This window comes from Homo sapiens, chromosome 11 (assembly GCF_000001405.40).
Source record: "Homo sapiens chromosome 11, GRCh38.p14 Primary Assembly".
Lineage (NCBI taxonomy): Eukaryota > Metazoa > Chordata > Mammalia > Primates > Hominidae > Homo > Homo sapiens.
The window spans coordinates 68,147,189-68,170,304 of record NC_000011.10 but is presented as its reverse complement, the minus strand read 5'-3'; the positions used below and the strand labels follow the sequence as shown (position 1 = coordinate 68,170,304).

The window sequence follows — 23,116 nt, the reverse complement described above, 5'->3', positions numbered from 1 at the left end:
CACCACCTTGTTCAGTTCTCACAGATATTCATGAGAGAGCTAGGAGGTGCCCACATTGCGAGTACCAGAACATAAGTATCAGACCCCAGTCAGCCTAACTTCAGAGTCCTCATTCTTTCCACTTCATATTGCTTTTGGAGTTATGATCAGAGTTATTAGTGTCACTTCTCCCACTTTAAAACACCTACAAATAGCCAGCCTAGAGGTTGCAGTGGGCAGATACCCCAGTTGCCATTTCCCTCCTTTCTGGATAGCCAGGGATTTCCAACTGTGTGGTGAGAGAGGACGGAGTCATCAAGTCACAGTGCTACCGTAGCCATCCCTCTCCCAGCACTGAGTGGGCTCCTTGCCATAAAGATGTGGCAGAAAACCAGTTCCTAGTGCTGCTGAATTTTTACCAGGGCAGAGGGACATAAAATTTATCTTTTTCTACATAAAAATTATTCACATGTTGGTTAGATCTTGGACCAGTCCAGAGAATACCCTTTAAAGTAGTTTAATTATAGTTCAATAATTCTTCAAAATCATTTTGTAGAGGAAACAGTATAACAGTTAAGTGCCTATCATCTGAAATCAGACTGCCTGGGTTGGAATCCTGCAACTCTGCATTTCATTAGCTATGTGATGTGTAGGGTAAGTCACTTAGCTGCTTTGTGCCTTAATTTCCCCATCTGTAAAATGGGGATAACATCAGAACCTATTTTGTAGGGTTGATGTGAAGGCTAAATTTGTTATTTCCTGTAAAGCATGTAGAATAGCACACAGTTAATACACAAATGTTAACTACAATAATTGGTTTCTGGTTATTTTCCCATTAGAATATGAGCTCCATGAAGGCAGGGGCTTGTATCTGTTTCATTTTCCGCTATATCCCCAGAATACAGAACAGTACCCTGGTGCATAGTAAGTCCTTGATAAATATTTGGTAAATGAATGAATAGAGTAAATATATATAATGAAGTTTTTGGAGGCGGTCCTGAAAACACCTAACCACATACTGAGGATTCCAAACCAACACCGAAACAGCTCTTTCCCTGGTTTAGAACTGCAGGTATAGTCATTTTCCTTGAGCAGATTAGTTCTCTTTCATGAGCCTCTGTTTTCTCACTGGTGAAAATGAGGATAATCCCACCTACTCCACAAGGTTAGTGTGAGAAGTAGATAGAAACGTGTGTAAGTCCTTTTTAAATGGAACAGCATGATGGAGAATAGTGGCCATGGCTATTGTCAGACTGTTTGAGCAGTTTGATTTCAAGATTGGCTGCATATATTCTTGAAGTTCTCATAAACACCAAATTGTTTCTGCCTTTACAGAAATTAGCTGGGAAGATGCATCTAGGAGCTCATTCCATTATTCATTACATATTAACTGAACAGTTACTTAATGTTAGGCCAAGTGCATGCAGGATAAACAAGACCAGCACAGTGCCAGCTGTCAGGGCAGTTCAGTGAAGGGGACACACACACTGTGCTGAGAGCCAGAGGGTAAAAGGAAGAGGCTCCGTGAAGAAGTGAGAATGGACGGAATCACGTGTGCAGAGACACTGAGTCGCGCTAGACACTCCAGGATACATTTGAAGCATGTTTCTCTGCTACACTGTACTGACAGTAGTAATTGTAATATGTTCATAAGTACTGCACATTTTACTCTAGAAAATTTAAAGCAAAGGCCACGCACGTGTGACTCACGCCTATAATCCCAGCACTTTGGGAGGCTGAGGCAGGTGGATCACCTGAGGTCAGGAGTTCGAGACCAGCCTGGCCAACATGGCAAAACCCCGTCTCTACTAAAAATACAAAAATTAGCCAGATGTGGTGGTGCGCGCCTATAATTCCAGCTACTCAGGAGGCTGAAGCAGGAGAATCGCTTGCACCCAGGAGGCAGGGGTTGCAGTGAGCCAAGATCGCACCACTGCACTCCAGCTTGGGTGACACAGCAAGACTGTGTCTCAAAAAAAAAAAAAAAATTCTAATAACAAAAAGCTCCTATAAGCTTATAGGGAAAAGACATAGTCAAATAGGAAAAAAGGTAAAGGAAAAAGAGATGCAGAGATGCTTCACAGGAAAAAAATGGCCATAAATGAGATTAAAACAAGATTAGGTATTCATTTTCACTCATCACTTTGGCAAAAAGTAAAATTTTTTTAGACGGAGTCTTGCTCTGTGTAAGTTTCGATCTCAACTCACTGCAACCTTCACCTTCCAGGTTCACGCAATTCTTCTGCCTCAGCCTCCCGAGTAGCTGGGACTACAGGCGCCTGCCATCACGCCGGGCTAATTTTTTTTTGTATTTTTAGTAGAGACAGGGTTTCACCATGTTCACCAGGATGGTCTCTTTATCTCTTGACCTCGTGATCTGCCCACCTCAGCCTCCCAACGTGCTGGGATTACAGGTGTGAGCCACCATGCCTGGCCCACTTTGGTAAAATTTAAGGAGTACAATGTACCGTTGATGAGGATGTGGAGAAGCAGGAACTCACACCATGCTAGTGGGACCATGATTTGCTCTATCCCTTTGGCAAAGTAATCTGGCAATGTTTATTAAAGGGCTGGACTTTGTGGCTCACGCCTGTAAATCCAGCACTTTGGGAGACCCAGCTGGGAAGATCCCTTGAGCCCAGCAGTTGGAGACCAGCCTGGGCAACATAGTGAGACCCCATCTCTACAAAAAAAAATTTAAAAATTAGCTGGTGGTGGTGCTACACGCTTATGGTCCCAGATACTCAGGATGCTGAGGTGGGACGACTTCTTGAGCCTAAGAGGTTGAGGCTGCAGTGAGCCATGATCGTGCCACTGCATTCCAGCCTGGGCGGTAGAGTGAGACCCTGTCTCAAAAAAAAAAAAAAAAGGAAAAAATTTTACAAGGTCCAGTAGTTTCTCATAGGCAATTAATGATTGATAATAGTCATAACAAGTTGTTTTATTATTTTAAATATAGATTTAAAGTTAATTTTATAATATAGATACTTAATTTCCTTTGTGAGTTCTAGTCTTCGGTTTCCAGTGGTGATTAAGGCCTCAGCAGCTCATCACATCTGTTAACCTGTAGCCAAGTACCCTCAGCAGTTAAGCTTATTATAAGAAAGTGTGTTCTATTTGTTTAACCTGTGCTATTTTCTCTTTCAGACGGGGCACTGGTGCTTTTAAATCCAGAGTGGGACTGCCTGCGCCTGCTCCTGTTATCAATAGCAAATATGGACTCAGAGAAACAGATAAACGTTTAAATAGGCTTAAAAAGTTAGGTGACAGCAGCAAAAATTCAGACAGTCAATCTGTCAGCTCTAACACTGATGCAGATACCACTCAGGAAAAAAACAATGCAAGTAAGTAAGGGAGATTTGATAAGCATATCTTTTAAAAGTATTTTCACACAATTTGCTTTATAAAGTGTGCTTCAGTAGTTTTAAACTTTTAAATACTCAGAGAGACTGGGACTTGTGAGCTTTGGCTGCACTTCAAGGCTCTAGACGTGATTTGAGTAGAGGCACAGTCTGTATCCCATCTCTAACTTCAGTACCGTCCTCTAGACTATTTTTCTTGAATACCTTGGTAACTGGATATGAGTTCTTCATCATATGTTCCAAGGTCATCATATGTTTTAAACATTTTCAAGGTGTTAGAGACTGTGATGATGTCGCTAAGTCCTGCAAGAAGACAAAAGGACTGAGTAGAATTAAATTAGACTCTATACATTCCAGTGCCTAGCCAGTTTGTTAGAAAAGATGATGGACTTGGGGAATTCATAGCTTCTGGCCTTAAGGCTTCCACCTTTTCATTGCTTGCTGACCTTTTTCAAAACGAACTGACTCAGTTCAGCAGACCACCAGTACCAGACTCAGAATTGTGATAGAGGAGCATTTTGAACAGTGCCGTATTGTGACATGCTGTATTGGCTACTCCAGAAAGTAGGAGTAAAGATGGAAAGGAGAAAGAAGCAACCTCTGAGATTCCAGTGGTGTGTGGGGGCAAGATCTGATGGAAACTGAAAAAGAGAACGAAGACTAAACAAAGAGAAAGGAAAGAGAAGAAACCCTAAATGGGCAAAGGAAAGCACATCCTGTTTGCGGAGCTTTGAAATATTGGAACCATTTCTAATTGCTCCTGTTTTTCTGGGTAACACCAGTTTTCTGTAGTTGCCACTAAAGCAGTAGACTCTTGAGTCTCACTTGTCTCTGAGAGAGACAGAAGTTAGAAAGTTTTGACTTGGCGATTCCGAAAGTATGCCTTTGTTGGCACTTAAATGTCCAGTGAGACTTCTTGGCACCTTAGAGCCCTCTGAGATACTGATTATTTTAGGTTCTTCTCCCTACTTTCAGATGTTTTCAGCCCAACACTGGGTGCTCTCTTCCACTACAGAGAATCCTGAAGAAAAGGGAAGGTGTTTCCCATGATGGTGAATGTCACTGCCATGAATTCCTGAATCTACCTGCTGCTGGGAGTCAGAGTCCAAGCATAACCCGTGTAGCATAAAAGCAGCGCTGTAGCCCTATTCCAGTCTTTTTCGTTAATGTCCAGAGTGAACAACAAGAGTTAGTCAATCATTAACTGTTGACTGTTGATTCTCATAATAAATGCAGCATAACGACCATTTGTTTTCTGAGTCTGGTTCCTTGGTGAAACTGGAGACTTGTGAAGCCCATTTTATAAATGCAGACATAAAAACACTTAAAAGCCAGGCATGGTGGCACACCTGTAGCCCCAGCTACATGGGAGGCTGAGGTGGGAGGGTCACTTGAGCCTAGGAGTTTTGAGACCTGCCTGGGCAACATAGTAAGACCTGTGTCTTTTTTTTTTTTTCTTTTGAGACGGAGTCTCGCTCTGTCCCCAGGCTGGAGTGCAGTGGCACACTCTCAGCTCACTGCAGCCTCTGCCTCCCAAGTTCAAGCGATTCTCCTGCCTCAGCCTCCCAAGTAGCTGGGATTACAGGCACGTGCCACCGCATCCAGCTAATTTTTGTATTTTTAGTAGAGACGGGGTTTCACCATGTTGTCCAGGATGGTCTCAATCTCCTGACCTCAGGTGATCCGCCTTGCCTTGGCCTCCCAAAGTGCTGGGATTATAGGTGTGAGCCACTGCACCCGGCCAGAGACCTGTGATTTTTAAACAAAAACACTTAGGTTCGTGCTGCCATCTGTATATGGAGACAGCCACAGAGTTGCCTATGTTGAATGGCTATGTGATGTAGGTGTTTTATGCTTAAGTAGTAACTTTATTACTGGTGTATAGCTACTGAACTCAATATACTACTTAGTTTAAAAGATAAGAATACAAATAATTTTTGGAAGATGTTGGGTGTACTAATATTTAACTATTAATATTTATTAAACCAAATATTTGGGAATATATATTAACAAACTAAATACTTACTGAAATCCTGCTAGTTCTTGAAGACATACAAAGATGTTTGAGACTTGGGCCCTTTCCTCAGGGAGCTTATGCCTTACTTAGCTCCAGGATAAGACAGGTGCACAAGTAAGCAGAACAAACTGGAGGCACAGGCTTTCAAGTTCAGAGGGACTGAATAATCGCTTTAAGCTGAAGTCTCAGCATTACAGAAGAAAGGTGTACATTTTGCAGGGACTGCTGATATTGGGGTGCTTGGCTTATTCAAATTCCCTTTCTGCAGCATGATTGGAGCAATCCAAGGATCAGTATGACTAACTCTGAGGTCATGGGCAGAGTGGATAGGCATGGCTCAGTGCTCTCTCTGAAGGAGCTCAAGGCTTTAGTTGTCTCTGAGACCATTGTATGTTAAGTCATGTTCACATAAGGATTTCTTGAGTTCTTACATGCGTTCTCTTAGGCTGTATTTCTTTTGGTGTTTGTCTCAGCCATCCCCTCCACCTGTCTGAAAGAAAGGTTCTGGAAGCCACATCCTGCAGGAAAGCCAGCACTGCCAGTCCCTCCTCCCAGGGTGGTGGGTGCATGTGCTGTGTATGTGTTTGCGGAGTGCTTTTTCTGTGTGGCTGCTCATCTTTATCATGTGGTTCGTTTAGAATTTAGCAGCTGACAGAGGAACTGCTTTCTTTGAACACATGTATAAAAAAATGTTCTGAGTAGTTGGAAGAAAAATTTCCATACAGGTGCTTTTTCGGAAAGTACCTTGAGAGCTATGGTGTGACTTTGCTTTAGCATCCAGAAGTAGAGACAACAAGGAATCCGTTTTCACAAATCCAGTCCACAGGTCTGAATTAGAATGCCAGGACTGGAGGATTCTGGTTTTTCAGGCCTCTTATGCCTCGCTGACTGGGCTGCCCCCTCTGAAGTTAGTGCTGTGATAGGGAAGGTGAGACCAGAGAGAGGCTCGCGAGCGGTCTGTGAAGATGCGGACACGGGTCTCTGCAGGTGCCACAAGTCAGGACAAGCCCCAGAAGAATCGGCCAGAGGGAGAAGTTGATCTTAACTATGGAGCACCTGTCCTAGATGCAGAGGCTGGGGCGCTGCTCCTCACTCCTGCCCTGTCACTCATGTCAAGAGTTGATCTGAACACTTTTCTGCTGAGCCTTCGGGCTGCTTCCAAATTCTAACACCCCGTTCCAGGTAGCCATTGGCAGTCTGTGCTAGTCATGTCAGATGAAAGCTGCTTGTGCCAAGTAAACTCCTTGAGACCGAGGTCTTTAAAGTCCTGTCAGAGGCCTTCTGGATCCTCCAGCTCTGGAGATGCTCAGCTGTGGCCCTTGTATTATCTTAGTTCACGCTGATTGTGCATTTCCAGTGCGGCCTGAGTGCTCAGGAAGGCTTTGGTGTCGGTCACAGCTCTTTTGTCTGACTGGAAGTCTTGTGCCACCCTGCCTTATGATTTTGAGGACACCCTGAAATGACCATAATAGCCATGCAGTGGGGCCTTTACCCGTAAGTTGAGGCCAACACCATAATTCTTCTGTATATGCCTTATAGGCAGCATAAGCGTGATTTTAATGCTCAGGAAGGCCTAACAAGTCCCATCTCTGCCATTCACCAGCTGGATGACCTTAGGCATGCTAGTTCGTGTAAGCTTGGTTTTCACATAGCTTTAATCGCTTTCCCTTCCAACGGCGTTCATTAGGATGAATGTGGCCATTTTGCACAGCACCTAGCATGTAGTAATTGCTGAGAAGAATGTGTACCCCCACCTAAAATTACAGTCCAGGTCCATGTATTTGAGATTTGTCCCAGCCCCTAGGGGAAGAGTCATACGAGGCATATAAGTGCCACAGCAAGCTCAAACACAGGTGCATCTGACCCCACTTAGGTCATAGTCCTTGGTTTCTTGATGGACTTTAAAATCATTGACTTTTAGTTTGTCATTGTGGCCACTGTCTTCCTCCTTTAGCCTTCACTGTCTGAAATTCTCAACCCCTGCCAGGACAGTGCAGCTTCTTTGGACAGTGAAGGACTCTTGTCACTCTACTGGGTCCTCATCTTTGTCACATTTCTCAAATTCTTTGCCTGTCTTTTTTTTCCTTTGATTTGATGAGCATACCTTTTGACAGGGCTTTTGATGAGATAATGCTTTTCAAACAAAATTAGAATACATTGGTAACATGTAAGTGAAATCTCTGTGTTGATGTAATACATAGCATCAAATACATACCCATTTTGTGCTCAAAAATGGAGCGTTTATGTTAGTTTAGAGACAAACACATAAAAGTGCTTTGGTTTTCTGTTGTCAACAGTGAATGTTTTGGAAGGAGGGATGGGATGGGGAGAGCCGAATTCAGAATCACCATAAAATGGGAGTCATCCAACGGGTGAAAATAAGAAGTACCAAGGAAGGAGCTTCTTGGGTGCTGTGAGAAGACATAGGAAAGGCATTGCAGAGAAAGTCCCGAGAGGCTCCCTCAGGGAGGTGTTGCCTAAGCTGAGTCTTACAGGGGGATGAGAAGTTGGCCAAGTGAAGCCTATTCAAAGCAGAGGGCCTTTCAGACAGCTCTATAGACAGAGGGGAGTTTGAGTCAAAGCTTTTCTTCATGGCGAGTACAGGCTAAGAAGAAGAGATGTGAGCACAGGTTAAAATTCTAGACTTCATTCTTAGGGCATTAGGTTGCTGAAAGGTTTAAAGCCCAGAAGCTGCATGATACACTAGGAAAGTCATCCTGGCTATGTGGTGGTAAACGGATTGTTGGGAAAACAATAGGAAAAACAAAACTGCCATAGTTCATGCAGGAGGCTGTGGCTTTCGAGACAGGGAAGAGTAGACAGGTTGCAGTGACATTGCAGGGGTGGACTCCACGGCACATGGTGATTGGCTTGGTGAGGCAGTTCAGGAGAGCAGGAGTCAAGGAGGACCTCCAGCTTTCTGCTTTGGCAGCTGGGCATGTGGTGGTGATATTGACCAAGATGGAGACCTCGAAAGGGGACGTCGTCAGGAGACTTGATGGTGAGTTCCATTTAGGGGCTTAGAGACAGTCAGTATTTGGTGACCTGGTTCTGTAAGTTAGGAGCGGGTCTGGCCAGAGTTCGGGAACTGTCAGCCTGTAAGTGGTAATAGCCGTGCGAGAATGGGTGCTTGTCACCTGGGGCCTAGGACTACACAGACCTGAAGAAGAACAGTCTAAGGGGCCGATGAAGGAGGGTGCCAGGGATGGAGAAGGGAACCAGGAGAGTGCGCTCTCTTTGACAGCCAAGAGAAGAAAGGTTTTCTCAAGAAAAAGTGGTTATCAGTGTCACATTCAGAGAAATGAAGAAAGGGAAGGGCTGAGGAGTGTGTGCTGGGTTTGACGACAAGAAGTTGTCAGATCACCAAAGGCTGTCTCATTGGAGGAGCAGGCTGGATCCAGATGGCGGGGATTGCTGTTGAGAATATGACATAGATGTGAGTGTTGTGTAAGGGTGCTTGCAGGTACGTCATGAGAGTGGAATGGAAAGAGGAGAAATCAAAGGTTGGAAACCACTAAGTTTGGTCATAAATTAGTCCTTGAGGAGGCATAGAATGAGCAAAGGATCATCGTAGCCACATCTGAGAGAGCCAAGCAAAGGGAAGCCAAGCAGTGCAGTCCTTTCTTCACTAGTGTCTTTATATTGGCAGCACGTCCATTCAGTCCACCTTGTAGGCAAGCATAAAGAAACCCTTTAGCCGAAGAGTTCCCTATTTTTTCTTATTTTCTAAATTTCTTATTAAAAAAAAATTTGCTATCACATAGTTCTGTATAGTTCCAGTGGATAATAAATCACTCGTTCTCAAATTGAATCACATTCAAAGTTCACTACTCCTACTATTCTAAAAAGAGGCGCCACCTTGGTAGCAGCCCACATGTGTAAGTATGTTCTTGTTTCAAACTGTGAATCCCTTTGCTGTGAATTCTGCTGGTTTATGTACCCTGAAGCCATTTATGAGCCAGTCTGTGCGTGCAGGACCTTCTTTGTTTTTGTTTTTCTGAGAGGAAGTTTCACTCTTGTCACCCAGGCTGGAGTACAATCGTGCGATTTTGGCTCACTGCAAACTCTGCCTCCCAGGTTCAAGTGATTCTCCTGCCTCAGCCTCCCCAGTAGCTGGGATTACAGGCACGTACCACCGTGCCCGACTAATTTTTGTATTTTTAGTAGAGACAGGGTTTCACCATATTGGCCAGGTTGGTCTCGAACTCCTGACCTCAGGTGCAGAGCCTTCTATTCTTGGTGGTTTGATATTTTTGGAATGTTGTGATGCATTCTTGCTCCTCTCTCAATAAAAACTGAACTTATGGTAACTTACTTGCTTAGCTGGGCGGAAGGAATGGCAGTTGCCCTGGCAACCTGAGGCATGTAGAAAGCGACAGATTTCTCTGCAGGATCCTGGTCCTCACTTGGTTGGGCAGTGTGCTGAGCTTACCCATGTTTTATTGTTTTTATCCTCCCTGTTCTGATGAGAGGTGGTGATGATTCGTTTTGTTATCGTGGCTTCTCTAGTGAATCTGTAAATGGAGTGTTTTGATTAGGAAGAAGTTTTTCAACTGGACCTGCAAGAACTAAGTAATTGAGAAACTGACTTGTGTAACAACTTCTATAAATAATAGTCTGGAATGTCAATACAGAGGAAAAATTAACATAGCAGAAAGTCAGTGGCAAGGTCAGAGACACTACAGGAGCAGCTTAAGCTTGAGTCACAAATGAAGCCTTTTGAGAAGCCATTCAACTTTATTCTTTATATTGACAGCACGTCTATTCGATCCACCTTGTAGGCAAGCCTCGTAAGCATAAAGAAATTCTGTAGCAAAAGAATTATCTAAATATCCTTATATTTTAAAAAATATTTTCTACCTAGTAGTTCTGTATAATTCCAGTGGATAAGAATACGCTCATTCTCAAATGGAATCATATTCATCACTACTCAGGTTGTCATTACCATTAGGGTCATTGTAACCCTTTTCTATCCTGGCCTTGGAGGAAAGAAGTTGGATCTCCCTTTGTCCTGAGAGTGTACAATTCTAGCAGCGTGCATCTTCCTTCACTGTGATTGTTGGCATCTGGCCGTCACTGAAGGGATGGGGCTGAGTAAGCTTTGCAGCTCTTCTAAGTTGACAGCCCACTGGTTGCCTCTTCTGTTCCTCACGGAGTTGAAGGGGACAACTTAGAATAGTGCATTTCTTTTTCGGTAGTGACTGTACTTTTCAGAGTGATAATATATGGTTCTTAGCATCTGTTTTTCTTGTTTGAAACCATTGCGATAGAATTTGTTCCTTAGAGCCCATGAGTATTCTATTTCTACTCTATGTTAATGGCCAAGTGCTGTACTTCCTTTAGGTTAATGAGCAATGGATTTTAGAAACATTTTAAATGACTAAGGAGAATCTGTGAAAGGAAAAAACCATGTTAACTTTCTTTGAAATCTTTTATGTGGGAAACTACTAAATCAGGAGAAGAAAGCGTTCGTTTGGGCCAGTGTCACGACAGATTAAGAAGCTTAGAGTGGAATCTAGGTCCCTGCTGTGAAAAGCTCCTTAACCGTGCAACTACTTACCTCAAAAATGAATAGATGCCCCATAAATTAGAAAAGAACTTCAAAGAGAAGCAGTGTAGGGAATGCAGGTGCGCTGGCAGAATCTGCAGCAGGAGCCGTGGTGTTGGCGTTTGTGTAATCTAAACGTGCTGTAGCTAATAGCCTGGGTTTGGGCATTCTTTTCTTGAACTCTGCTGTTACCAAGGCTTTTCACCTTTTTCTCTTTAACCTTACAGCTTCTAACCGAAAATCTTCAGTTGGCGTAAAAAAGAATAGCAAGAGCAGAACGTTAACGAGGCAATCTATGTCAAGAATTCCAGCTTCTTCCAACTCTACCTCATCTAAGCTAACTCATATAAATAATTCCAGGGTACCAAAGAAACTGAAGAAGCCTGCAAAGCCTTTACTTTCAAAGATAAAATTGAGAAATCATTGCAAGCGGCTGGAGCAAAAGAATGCTTCAAGAAAACTCGAAATGGGAAACTTAGTACTGAAAGAGCCTAAAGTAGTTCTGTATAAAAATTTGCCCATTAAAAAAGATAAGGAGCCAGAGGGACCAGCCCAAGCCGCAGTTGCCAGCGGGTGCTTGACTAGACACGCGGCGAGAGAACACAGACAGAATCCTGTGAGAGGTGCTCATTCGCAGGGGGAGAGCTCGCCCTGCACCTACATAACTCGGCGGTCAGTGAGGACAAGAACAAATCTGAAGGAGGCCTCTGACATCAAGCTTGAACCAAATACGTTGAATGGCTATAAAAGCAGTGTGACGGAACCTTGCCCCGACAGTGGTGAACAGCTGCAGCCAGCTCCTGTGCTGCAGGAGGAAGAACTGGCTCATGAGACTGCACAAAAAGGGGAGGCAAAGTGTCATAAGAGTGACACAGGCATGTCCAAAAAGAAGTCACGACAAGGAAAACTTGTGAAACAGTTTGCAAAAATAGAGGAATCTACTCCAGTGCACGATTCTCCTGGAAAAGACGACGCGGTACCAGATTTGATGGGTCCCCATTCTGACCAGGGTGAGCACAGTGGCACTGTGGGCGTGCCTGTGAGCTACACAGACTGTGCTCCTTCACCCGTCGGTTGTTCAGTTGTGACATCAGATAGCTTCAAAACAAAAGACAGCTTTAGAACTGCAAAAAGTAAAAAGAAGAGGCGAATCACAAGGTATGATGCACAGTTAATCCTAGAAAATAACTCTGGGATTCCCAAATTGACTCTTCGTAGGCGTCATGATAGCAGCAGCAAAACAAATGACCAAGAGAATGATGGAATGAACTCTTCCAAAATAAGCATCAAGTTAAGCAAAGACCATGACAACGATAACAATCTCTATGTAGCAAAGCTTAATAATGGATTTAACTCAGGATCAGGCAGTAGTTCTACAAAATTAAAAATCCAGCTAAAACGAGATGAGGAAAATAGGGGGTCTTATACAGAGGGGCTTCATGAAAATGGGGTGTGCTGCAGTGATCCTCTTTCTCTCTTGGAGTCTCGAATGGAGGTGGATGACTATAGTCAGTATGAGGAAGAAAGTACAGATGATTCCTCCTCTTCTGAGGGCGATGAAGAGGAGGATGACTATGATGATGACTTTGAAGACGATTTTATTCCTCTTCCTCCAGCTAAGCGCTTGAGGTTAATAGTTGGAAAAGACTCTATAGATATTGACATTTCTTCAAGGAGAAGAGAAGATCAGTCTTTAAGGCTTAATGCCTAAGCTCTTGGTCTTAACTTGACCTGGGATAACTACTTTAAAGAAATAAAAAATTCCAGTCAATTATTCCTCAACTGAAAGTTTAGTGGCAGCACTTCTATTGTCCCTTCACTTATCAGCATACTATTGTAGAAAGTGTACAGCATACTGACTCAATTCTTAAGTCTGATTTGTGCAAATTTTTATCGTACTTTTTAAATAGCCTTCTTACGTGCAATTCTGAGTTAGAGGTAAAGCCCTGTTGTAAAATAAAGGCTCAAGCAAAATTGTACAGTGATAGCAACTTTCCACACAGGACGTTGAAAACAGTAATGTGGCTACACAGTTTTTTTAACTGTAAGAGCATCAGCTGGCTCTTTAATATATGACTAAACAATAATTTAAAACAAATCATAGTAGCAGCATATTAAGGGTTTCTAGTATGCTAATATCACCAGCAATGATCTTTGGCTTTTTGATTTATTTGCTAGATGTTTCCCCCTTGGAGTTTTGTCAGTTTCACACTGTTTGCTGGCCCAGGTGTACTGTTTGTGGCCTTTGTTAATATCGCAAACCATTGGTTGGGAGTCAGATTGGTTTCTTAAAAAAAAAAAAAAAATGACATACGTGACAGCTCACTTTTCAGTTCATTATATGTACGAGGGTAGCAGTGTGTGGGATGAGGTTCGATACAGCGTATTTATTGCTTGTCATGTAAATTAAAAACCTTGTATTTAACTCTTTTCAATCCTTTTAGATAAAATTGTTCTTTGCAAGAATGATTGGTGCTTATTTTTTCAAAAATTTGCTGTGAACAACGTGATGACAACAAGCAACATTTATCTAATGAACTACAGCTATCTTAATTTGGTTCTTCAAGTTTTCTGTTGCACTTGTAAAATGCTACAAGGAATATTAAAAAAATCTATTCACTTTAACTTATAATAGTTTATGAAATAAAAACATGAGTCACAGCTTTTGTTCTGTGGTAACCTATAAAAAAAGTTTGTCTTTGAGATTCAATGTAAAGAACTGAAAACAATGTATATGTTGTAAATATTTGTGTGTTGTGAGAAATTTTTGTCATAAGAAATTAAAAGAACTTACCAGGAAGGTTTTTAAGTTTAGAAATATTCATGCCAATAAAATAGGAAATTATAAATATATAGTTTTAAGCACTGCATCAGTGGGAGTTCTTGGCTTATGTTAGTTTATGTTAGTTTATTATGAAAACATCAAAGATTTTTTTGACTATATTATCAGTTAAACAAAAAGGAGTCAGATTTAATTTGTTTTTTGAAGCACTTTGAGAAATTAATTTTAATTAACTTAATGAGCAAATTTTTATTACTACTTTATGTTCAATACCAGGTTCTTTTCATTTCTCTGGATTATTTTGCAAATCATTGGACAGAGAATTTGGGAATATAAATCTGTAACAGGTGTTTGACACCAGTAGGTCTCTTTATTTCTGGGAAATGTGTACCTGTACTTTCTGATATACAGTGTTCCTAAGTAAAAATCAATTCAGGGGATTTGTATAGTGTCTATAGGAAAGTAGCCCATGTCTTGAAATATGAAAAGGAATCTGAAGGTCATGAAAAGTCCAGTGGAGAAAATCTCAATGCTTACTGTTACTACTAATTGATTCCTACTAGTTTCCAGGTTTGGGGGGATATTGTTTCAATGACGCTCCTTAAGACTGTTGATTGCCCATAGGTTCCAAATAGAAATTAAGACTCATGAACATTTTTAGAAAGTAGATTGTTTTCTCCTGGTTCTCTAAGGAACTACTTCTGCAGTCTTACATAGTCTCATCCTTGTTTGTTGTGGTGCAGTCGAACTCCTCAGGCGTTTGGAAAGCATGTGGTAGACCTTCTTCCACACCCACCCATACCCCCGTTCACTGCGTCTGGAGGTCTTCAACAGTGAAGTAGGGCAGCCCACACAGCCTCTCAGGAGCACCTGTCCGAGGCACCCGGAGCACTTTGCAGAGCACGTCCAGCCCTCATGGGGTCCCTGCATAGAAATGTGAACCCCTGCCACTGAGGAAGATGAAGGTAGACCCTGTGTCTGGAGGTGCTGGAGGGCAGCGGGTCACCTCTTGTATTCCCACCTTAGTTTGGGGTGTTTTGAAGAGGTTCAGAGACTAAATCTTAAACCTTATTTGAATACCAACGATAGCTATTTTGGGAATTTCGATCTTAAAAAGTGACAAAACACATTTCCCATTTTCATTTTTCAGCTGAATTTTAGTAACTTATTTTTGATGTTTTAATTTTATCATGGCCTCCTCTTTGGAGGCCAACCTTCCCATGGGTCTCAAAGCAGTGACATTTGGTAGTAAATCACTGCCTCTCAGGAGTCGGTATGCACAAGCACTCAGCAGCCACTGTTGATGCCTTCTAGGGAAACCTAATTTCCGTTGGTAAAGGTAGGGGCCTCGGAACTGTTCCGGATCTGCTGTAGAACTTCACCGTGTGGAATGGTGACAGCCACACACCGTTGACCAGTTTAGAAGAGGTTGCATTCAATAAAACTCTTAGCTTGAGCTTATGCAATGATTGGTTAAGATTTTGGCATTGTAAGAATTAGGAGATGATCATAGAAATATATGTAAAGTATTCAATTTTCAATCATTTTCAAATTACTGTTATAAATTGTTTTTGCTGAGTTGTAATACTTTTGAGATACAATGTATTCCTTGTACTGAAAGAATGAAAAAGGACTTTTTCAGCATTTGAGGTAAGTTCTTTAACGTTTCATTAAAAACATTTTTTACAAATATTTTGTACATGCACTTGCAGTATTGAGGTTAATCATTTTAATAAATTCGGAAATTAAAACAATTTGGCCGGTGTTCACTGTATCTGAAAAGAAAAAAAAAAGATCAAAGTGGTGACTTTCTCCACAAAATTTTCATGTAAAACAATTTGTAAAATCAATTTCTAAAGCTTTTCAATACCTGTGAGTGTTGAGTTCTCTGGGCCCTGGTCTCTTGTGTCTGGTGCCACTCATTTTTAAGAGAAGAGAGGGTAAACATACATTCTTCTTTTAGTAGGGAGACTAAACTACATACCTTCCTAGTCCTTGAACCCAAGAAATGTTTGCCCTCAACATGGAGCACAATAACATCGAAGGCTTTTGCAACCCAAATGCATTAATAGTTCCTGATTACTTGGAGTTGTTTTTTTCCCCCCTCTCCGTATTGGTCAAAGTTAGCATACTCATGACTGGCCTGGGTCCTTTTTTCACCCATTTACTGTTGAAATATGACTGTACAGGAGAGAGGAAACCTGCAACATCTGAGTATCCCTGAGCAAGCTGCTTAATCTCCACATCTCTTTCCTGGCACCCAGCATCATTCTGTGCCGGAGATCAGTGTGGACGCCTGGTCCCGTCATCAGTTAAGTTTCTGGTTGAGCTGCATTCACTCATGAGGATAATCTGGGTGAGTGCTGCACACACGGGACTAGTCAAGTATTGATTATTGATTTTTCCTAATTGATTGAAGTATCCACCCAAACTTGGGTTCCCAGTATAGAAAAAGGCTAAGCGTGGCATGTCTGTTAAGTACTTAGGAGTCTTGTTCAGCATCTCAGGTTTTCTCTCTACTCTTCCAATAGCCAATGGTAGCTAACTTGCCGGGAGCCCTTGTGTGACTCGTTTCTCAAATGTCAACTTTCTGTCACTGACCTGCTGCACCGTTGCGTACTCTGCTGCAGAACCCAGTCGCACCCAGAGCAGAGTACAAGCAAGTTGCCAGCTCCAGGGCACTCCCTGTGACTATGGCACGTGTGACCCTCGCATGCAAAGGAAGGTGAGGTTTACTCCCTCCCTGATGTCCTAGAGCACATGGGCATTACTTGTGTTTGCTAATGATAGAGCCCAGGGGAAAAGGAAATTTATTGATTTAGAGACGGAGTCTCACTCTGTTGCCCAGGCTGAAGTGCAGTGGCACAATCTTGACTCACTGCAACCTCCACCTCCCAGGTTCAAGCGGTTCTCCTGCATCAGCCTCCCAAGTAGCTGGGACTACAGGCGCCCGCCACCATGCTGGGTTAATTTTTGTATTTTTGGTAGAGATGGAGTTTAACCATGTTGGCCAGGCTGGTCTTGAACTCCTGACCTCAAGTGATCTGCCCATCTCAGCCTCCCAAAGTGCTGGGATTACAGGCATGAGCCACCATGCCCGGCTGAAAAGTAAATTTGGATTCTTCCAAAAGGGTACCAGGGATTGCTAGGGGCAGTGTGTGTGAATGGCCAAGACTGGGAAAGGGGGTCGCTCACTAACACTGCCTCCACCATCTGCCACTTATTTTCTCCCAGGCCGTTAAGCTTAACACATATTCATGGAAACTGTTGTAAAGCTGCTAATCTGGAGGACAGAAGACAGACGCAGGCCCGTAGAGATTGCTTTGGTAATGTTCTGAAAAAGCCAGATCTGTTGCCAGATCCCGCGTCCTCCTTGCCAGGTTTGTGGGGTTTTCAGCTGACTTGCAGTAAACAGTGACTTAGGTCTTTTTGGGGCAGCCCACCTTGTTGAGTCTACTCTGGCTGAAGGGAGGCAGAGCGCTGCTGGGCCTGCTCAGGCACACCAGACCGCTGGAACCAGTGTGAGGCCCTGAGCAGCTGGGGCCCAGTGTGGCAGGAGTGAAGGTGCACTTCCGTGTTGTTTGAGCACCTAGTACGTTCTTGGGGTTTGGAGCAGGGAACAAGATTTGAATCTTCAATGTGGGGTAAAATCAAAGCCATGAGAGTGGGTGTCTTGGTCTCTTTGTACTGCTATCACAATATCACAGACTGGGCAATTTAGAACCAATAGACGTTTGTTTGGTTCATGGTTCTGGAGGCTGGGAAGTTCAAGATGGAGGGGCCGATTCTGGCGAGGAAGACCTTTCTGCTGCATCGTCCCGTGCTGCAGAGAGGGGAAGGGGCTTGACTTCTATTGGGAGCCCACTCCCACGATAATGGCATTAATCCATTCATTCATGAGGCAGGGCCTTCATGACCGAATTGCCTCTTAGACCCCACTTCTCAACACACTGTTGCACTGGGGGCTGAGTTTCCAGCATGAACCTGGGGCCATGCTCAGACCACAGCAGTGAGCTAGCCTAGGGAGCTGGCTGAGGGCAGCCCCTGCACCCACCCTCACTGAGGCCTGGGGGCGGCAGGAAAGGCTGCTCCCCCGCTGTTGGTCCTCGACTTCGGAGAGCTGAGCTTAGGTCAGTGCTTCAAGGAAGAGCCGGATGGGTTGAGAGGGTGGAGGCAAAGTTTGTGAAGGAGGAACGAGAGAGGATGACCACTGGGAAGGGAGGAGGTTCATTTCATTAATAGGAGACCCAAGTTGAATCTTGGAGGCGGGGAGCTTGCATAGTAAGTGTGTTCTGAGAAAGAAAGTGAAGGAGTTACTTGGAGTAGGGCCTCAGGGGGGTCTTCAGAGAGTAGATCCGTCTTCCTTCCAGGAGGAAAAGAGGATTTGGGATGTGGTGAGGGAGCCAGTCCAGAGTGAGGTTTTCTCTTGTCTGGTAAGTAGGAGGCAGATGAGAGTGAAGACAGGAGGGCCAGGAGGTTTGAGGAGTAAGAAGGAGGTTTGAAATTGAGAATGGGAAAGCATGCTGACTGTAGAAACCTAGTTATCATTCATTAAAGAAATATCTACTCATCACTTTCAAGGTACCAGGTCAGTGTCCTGAGCCCAGGCTGGTGGCCAGCACTTCCCTGCACAGGTGTGAGCCTCTCAGGCACACGTGGGCCTTTACCCAGGTGGAGACCACAGAAGACAGCAGGGCTGGGGGCCCTAGGGTTCAGGTTGGCAGGAGAAGGGGTTGCATGAGAAGCCGTGCATACCTGCAGGTTAGGGAAGAAAAGGCAAGTCTGTGAGCTGAGTGGGTCACTAGACAGGTGAAGGTGGAGGTGTTTGAATCCTGGAGGCTCCCTGTGGGCAGAGGACTGCCAAGCATTGGAGCAGTAAGCAAGTGTGGAGGGCAGGCGGAGAACAGGCGCTCAGAGCTCTGGAGGGGCCACACTTTCCTGTGAGAACAAGGTCCTAGTCGGGACCCTGGTAGTGGAGTGGTCACAGTTGTGAGAAATCATGGCATGGGTCACCCAAGAGGATGGCAGACAACCTTCATGGTGGGCCTCCAGTGGACTTCCAGTGAGTGCAGGCTTCTGGGGCTCAGGGAACAAAGCAACATGCCTTGGGGGGCTACCACACTCCATACAGGGAGCCATACAGAAACTGGGCCTGTGGGGAAACGAACGGGGAATACCCCACTCAGGGTGGTGGTGCTCTGGGGCCTTAATAAACAAGGAAATCGGCCTGCCTGAGATTGTGCAGCTGGTGGCAAGTGACAGAGGCAGACATTAACCCCAGGCTCCAAGGCACCAGCTTGTTTTTTGTTTTTGTTTTGTTTTTTTGAGACAGGGTTTCACTCTGTCACCCGGGCTGGAGTACGGTGGTGTGACCATGCCTCACTGTAGCCTTGACCTCCCAGACCTGAGCAATCCTCCTGCCTCAGCCTCCTGCTGAGTAGCTGGAACAACAGGTGCGCACCACCATGCCCCACTAATTTTTTTACTTTTTGTAGAAACGGGCTTCTCCCTATATTGCCCAGGCTCATCTCAAATATCTAGAGAGCACAGGTAAGGACCACAGAGCTGCCAGTGTTCCAGAGACCCCCAGCCCCAGCTGCGCAGCCCCACCTTTGCCAGGGTGATTCTGAAAGTCTCTGTCTCCTCGGCATTCCTGTGGGTCTACTTGGGAGGCTGAGGCTGGAGGATCACTTGAGCCCAGGAGTCCAGCCTGGGCAACATAGCAAGACCGATCCATCTCTTTAAAAGAAAAAAAAGGCCGGGCACGGTGGCTCACGCCTGTAATCCCAGCACTTTGGGAGGCCGAGGCAGGCAGATCATGAGGTCAGGAGATCGAGACCAAACTGGCTAACACGGTGAAACCCTGTCTCTACTAAAAATACAAAAAATTAGCCAGGTGTGGTGGCACACGCCTGCAGTCCCAGCTACTTGGGAGGCTGAGGCAGGAGAATCGCTTGAACTTGGGAGGCGGAGGTTCCAGTGAGCCGAGATCACGCCACTGCACTCCAGCCTGGTGACAGAGCGAGACTCTGTCTCAAAAAAAAAAAAAAAAAAAAAAGAATCCCTATGGGCGAAAAATAGGAATCATTGCTTTCTACCCACTTTCCATGCAGTTATGTGGGGCCAGGAGAAGTCTGTCTAAAGATTATGCCCCAGATAAGTGGGGTGATCCACGCCCACTGTCAAATATGCTTAGGGAGCTTGAAAAGTGGGAGAGGTGCCACTGCCCAAAGCACGGGCTCCTAGGAAGCCACAGGTGTTTGCTGGCCCTCAGGCACTCCATGGGGGCAGGCCTCTTGTTATCTGAAAGGGTGAGTCAAACTGGAGGGGAGCGGAGCATGCCTAGAGACAGCAAAGGAAGTCCGAGGTTTCCTCCAGCCAGGCAGGCTGCTGGACTTGACGATTAGTGTTTTTTTCGTTTTGTTTTGTTTTTCCTGTCTTTCTTTCTTTTTTTTTTTTTTTTGAGACAAGGTCTTGCTTTGTTGCCCAAGATTGGAGTGCAGTGGTGAAATCTTGGCTCACTGCAGCCTCGACCTCCTGGGTTCAGGCGATCCTCCCACCTCAGTCTCCCAAGTAGCTGGGACCACAGGCACAGACCACCACACCCAGCTAATTTTCTGTATTTTTAGTAGAGATGGGGGTGGGGGCCGGGGTCTCACCATGTTCCCTAGGCTGGTCTTGAACTCGTGACCTCAAGTGATCCACCCACCTCGGCCTCTCAAACTTCTGGGATTACAGGTGTGAGCCAGCATGCCCAGCCTGGACTTGGTGATTTTAATAGCGACTTGACAGAAATGTCATCCGGGGCAAAGGAATAACTGCATTTGATGAGGAGAAGGTTTCTTGTGTTATTCTCTAAATTATTACTGTGATTCCCCTCAGGACAAGTGTTTTCTCTCATGGGGCAGAGGCTGGAAGCTATAATTACATGAATGGGAAGCAGGGTTCTATTTACCGAAAGGCAATTTACATCTCATAAGCACGTCTGCAAAGCACGTTACACTTTTGCCACTCTTCATGAGTGTGGTTACTCCCTGAGCAGCAGGCCGGGGTCAGGTAATTTTGATTTCATCACACCAGCCTCAGTGGGGATGGCAAGTTGAGCACTGATAGAACGTGACTGGAAGCTACAGGCCAGGAGTCTTGGACTTAGCTGTTCTCCAGAGTGACTCTTCTTTTTCCTTTTTTTTTTTTTTTTTTTTTTTGAGACAGAGTCTCACTCTGTCGCCCAGGCTGGAGTGCAGTGGCACGATCTTGGCTCATTGCAACCTCCACCTCCTGGGTTCAAGCGATTCTCATGCCTCAACCTCCCGAGTAGCTGGAATTACAGGCGCCTGCCACTACACCCGGCTAATTTTTATGCTTTTAGTAGAGAAAGGGTTTCACCGTGTTGGCCAGGCTGGTCTCAAACTCCTGACCTCAAGTGATCCACCCACCTTGGCCTCTCAAAGTGCTGGGATTACAGGTGTGAGCCACTGCGCCCGGCCCAGAGTGACTCTTCTATACACAAAACTCTAATTTCCTCCTCTTGCTAGTCAAACCATGTTTTTCTTCTGCGGTAAGCGGCAAGCTGGGGAGGCTGAGCTAGGTGTGGTGGCACATGACTGTCATCCAAGTGGACCAGAGTTGACTCAGGCACCCACTTGGCCTGGGGCAAGGTTGGGGGGCACCTGCCCTGCCTCACTTGTTCCCAAACCTCAGATTTGTAACTTGTAAAGCAGAGGGAGTGAAAGCGCTCTGGGTTTGTTGAGGATTCAGCAGGAGAGTGCCCATCGTGCCCTTCACATGGGTCTGGCACCCAAGTCAGTTGGTACCCGTGTCCTGCCTCAACAGTCTGTGGGTGCACCCCAGACACCTCATGCGCCCTGCTCTGCCCCTAACCTCTGCCCTCCTCAGCTGACACCTGCTCAAACTGCCTTCATTACAACCTTCTCCAGCTCAGCTGCGTACTCAGACGATCCTGGATCCCGGTTCTATTTTCCCCTGGCTGATGCCCCTCTGTCAGTCAGGCCGCCTCTGTTTACCCGAAACCTCCGCTCCACCCCCGGGCCTCTCCTCCTTCCAAGGCAGTCTCTCTGCAGTCAGCTGCTCCCCTGACAGCCTTCCCTATTTGAGTGCCGAATAACGGCTGGTCACTCAAAAGGCACAGGGGATATGGGGGTGATTGAAACCCACTCCTTTCCCTCCAGGGAAACACACACGAACATCAGTAAAATGTGGTAATTGCCAGGATGCATGTGTGGAAGAAGCGTGGCAGGAGGACCAAGGAGAGTGCCCCCTGTTTCTGCTGGGGAACCAAGCAAAGCAGGCTTCATGGAGGAGGTAAAATTAAGAAGGGTCCTGAGAGATGAATAGGAGTTCATAAGCCCAAAGGGCAGAGGCGGTGGACACCTGCAAAGTCCTGGAGACATGGAAGGACAGGGTGTCTTATGGAAAGGAGGGTGAGAAGTTCAGCGTGGCCAGTCCAGAAAGTTTAAAAGGGGATGATAGCTGGCCGGACGTGGTGGCTCATGCCTATAATCCCAGCACTTTGGGAGGCTGAGGCGGGTAGGAGATCGAGACCATCCTGGCTAACATGGTGAAACCCTGTCTCTACTAAAAATACAAAAAATTTGCCAGGCGTGGTGGCGGCCGCCTGTAGTCCCAGCTCCTCAGGAGGCTGAGGCAAGAGAATGGTGTGAACCCGGCAGGCGGAGCTTACAGTGAGCCCAGATCGTGTACTCCAGCCTGGGCGACAAAGCGAGACTCCACCTCAAAAAACAAAAAAAAGGGATGATAGCTGAGGACCATTGACCTTAGGAGATGGGGGCATCTGCCTCTAGGTGAGGGCCCTGATCAGCACCCTAGGGGCACATTCTGTCTTCACCACCTCCTGATTTTGCAGCGTCTCCTATCTGAGCCTTAGTTTCTGCTCTGTAAAATGGAGATGATAATAGTACCCAACTCACTAAGGATGAAATAAAACAGCAAAAGATGCGTGAGCACCACGTCGGGTGCGTGGTAAGCATTCGGTAACTGTTAGCAGCTTTTGTTATTTCCTGGAATCTAATAGCAAAGCCTGTACTTTTCTACTGGCTTCAACTAATCAGCCCCAGCCCCAGCCCAGCCCTCCAACTTCCTCCTGGCCCCCAGCCCCAAGTGTGGCCCAACCATTCCAGGGCTGGGTGTCTTCCCAGAGCAGAGAGATCCAGGCCTCCCACTGTACAGAGAGGCAGGGACAGTGACTTGCTTGGGGACACACAGTGAGCAGGAGCAGGGGTAGCCCGGGCTTGAACCCAGGGCAGTAGCTGCCCTTCCCTGACTGTTGGCTGTGGCAGGCAGTGCCCCGGAAGGGCTGCTCTGGGCTTTGAGCCAGCAGCAGCCCAGCCAGCAAGGAGGTGGCCGCTATTGACAGATGATAACACGTGTTTGTTTAGCTAGAGCCACTC

General features: G+C 45.4%; 1 protein-coding gene across 27 annotated transcripts in view; it reads left to right on the top strand.

The window, feature by feature from the left end:
• KMT5B (lysine methyltransferase 5B) overlaps positions 1-15,442 on the top strand; it is a 58,786-nt gene extending 43,344 nt beyond the window's left edge. For 18 of the 27 annotated variants that reach the window (XM_047427072.1, NM_001369430.1, XM_011545092.4 and 15 more), the window contains 2 exons: positions 3,127-3,323; positions 11,134-15,442. In XM_047427072.1, the coding sequence (XP_047283028.1) occupies positions 3,127-3,323; positions 11,134-12,617 (1,681 nt within the window). In that variant the 3' untranslated portion in view covers positions 12,618-15,442. Of the gene's footprint in view, positions 1-3,126; positions 4,589-11,133 lie in introns of those variants that run through there. The other 9 variants (NR_161379.1, NR_161378.1, NR_161380.1 and 6 more) reach the window with 3 other exon arrangements.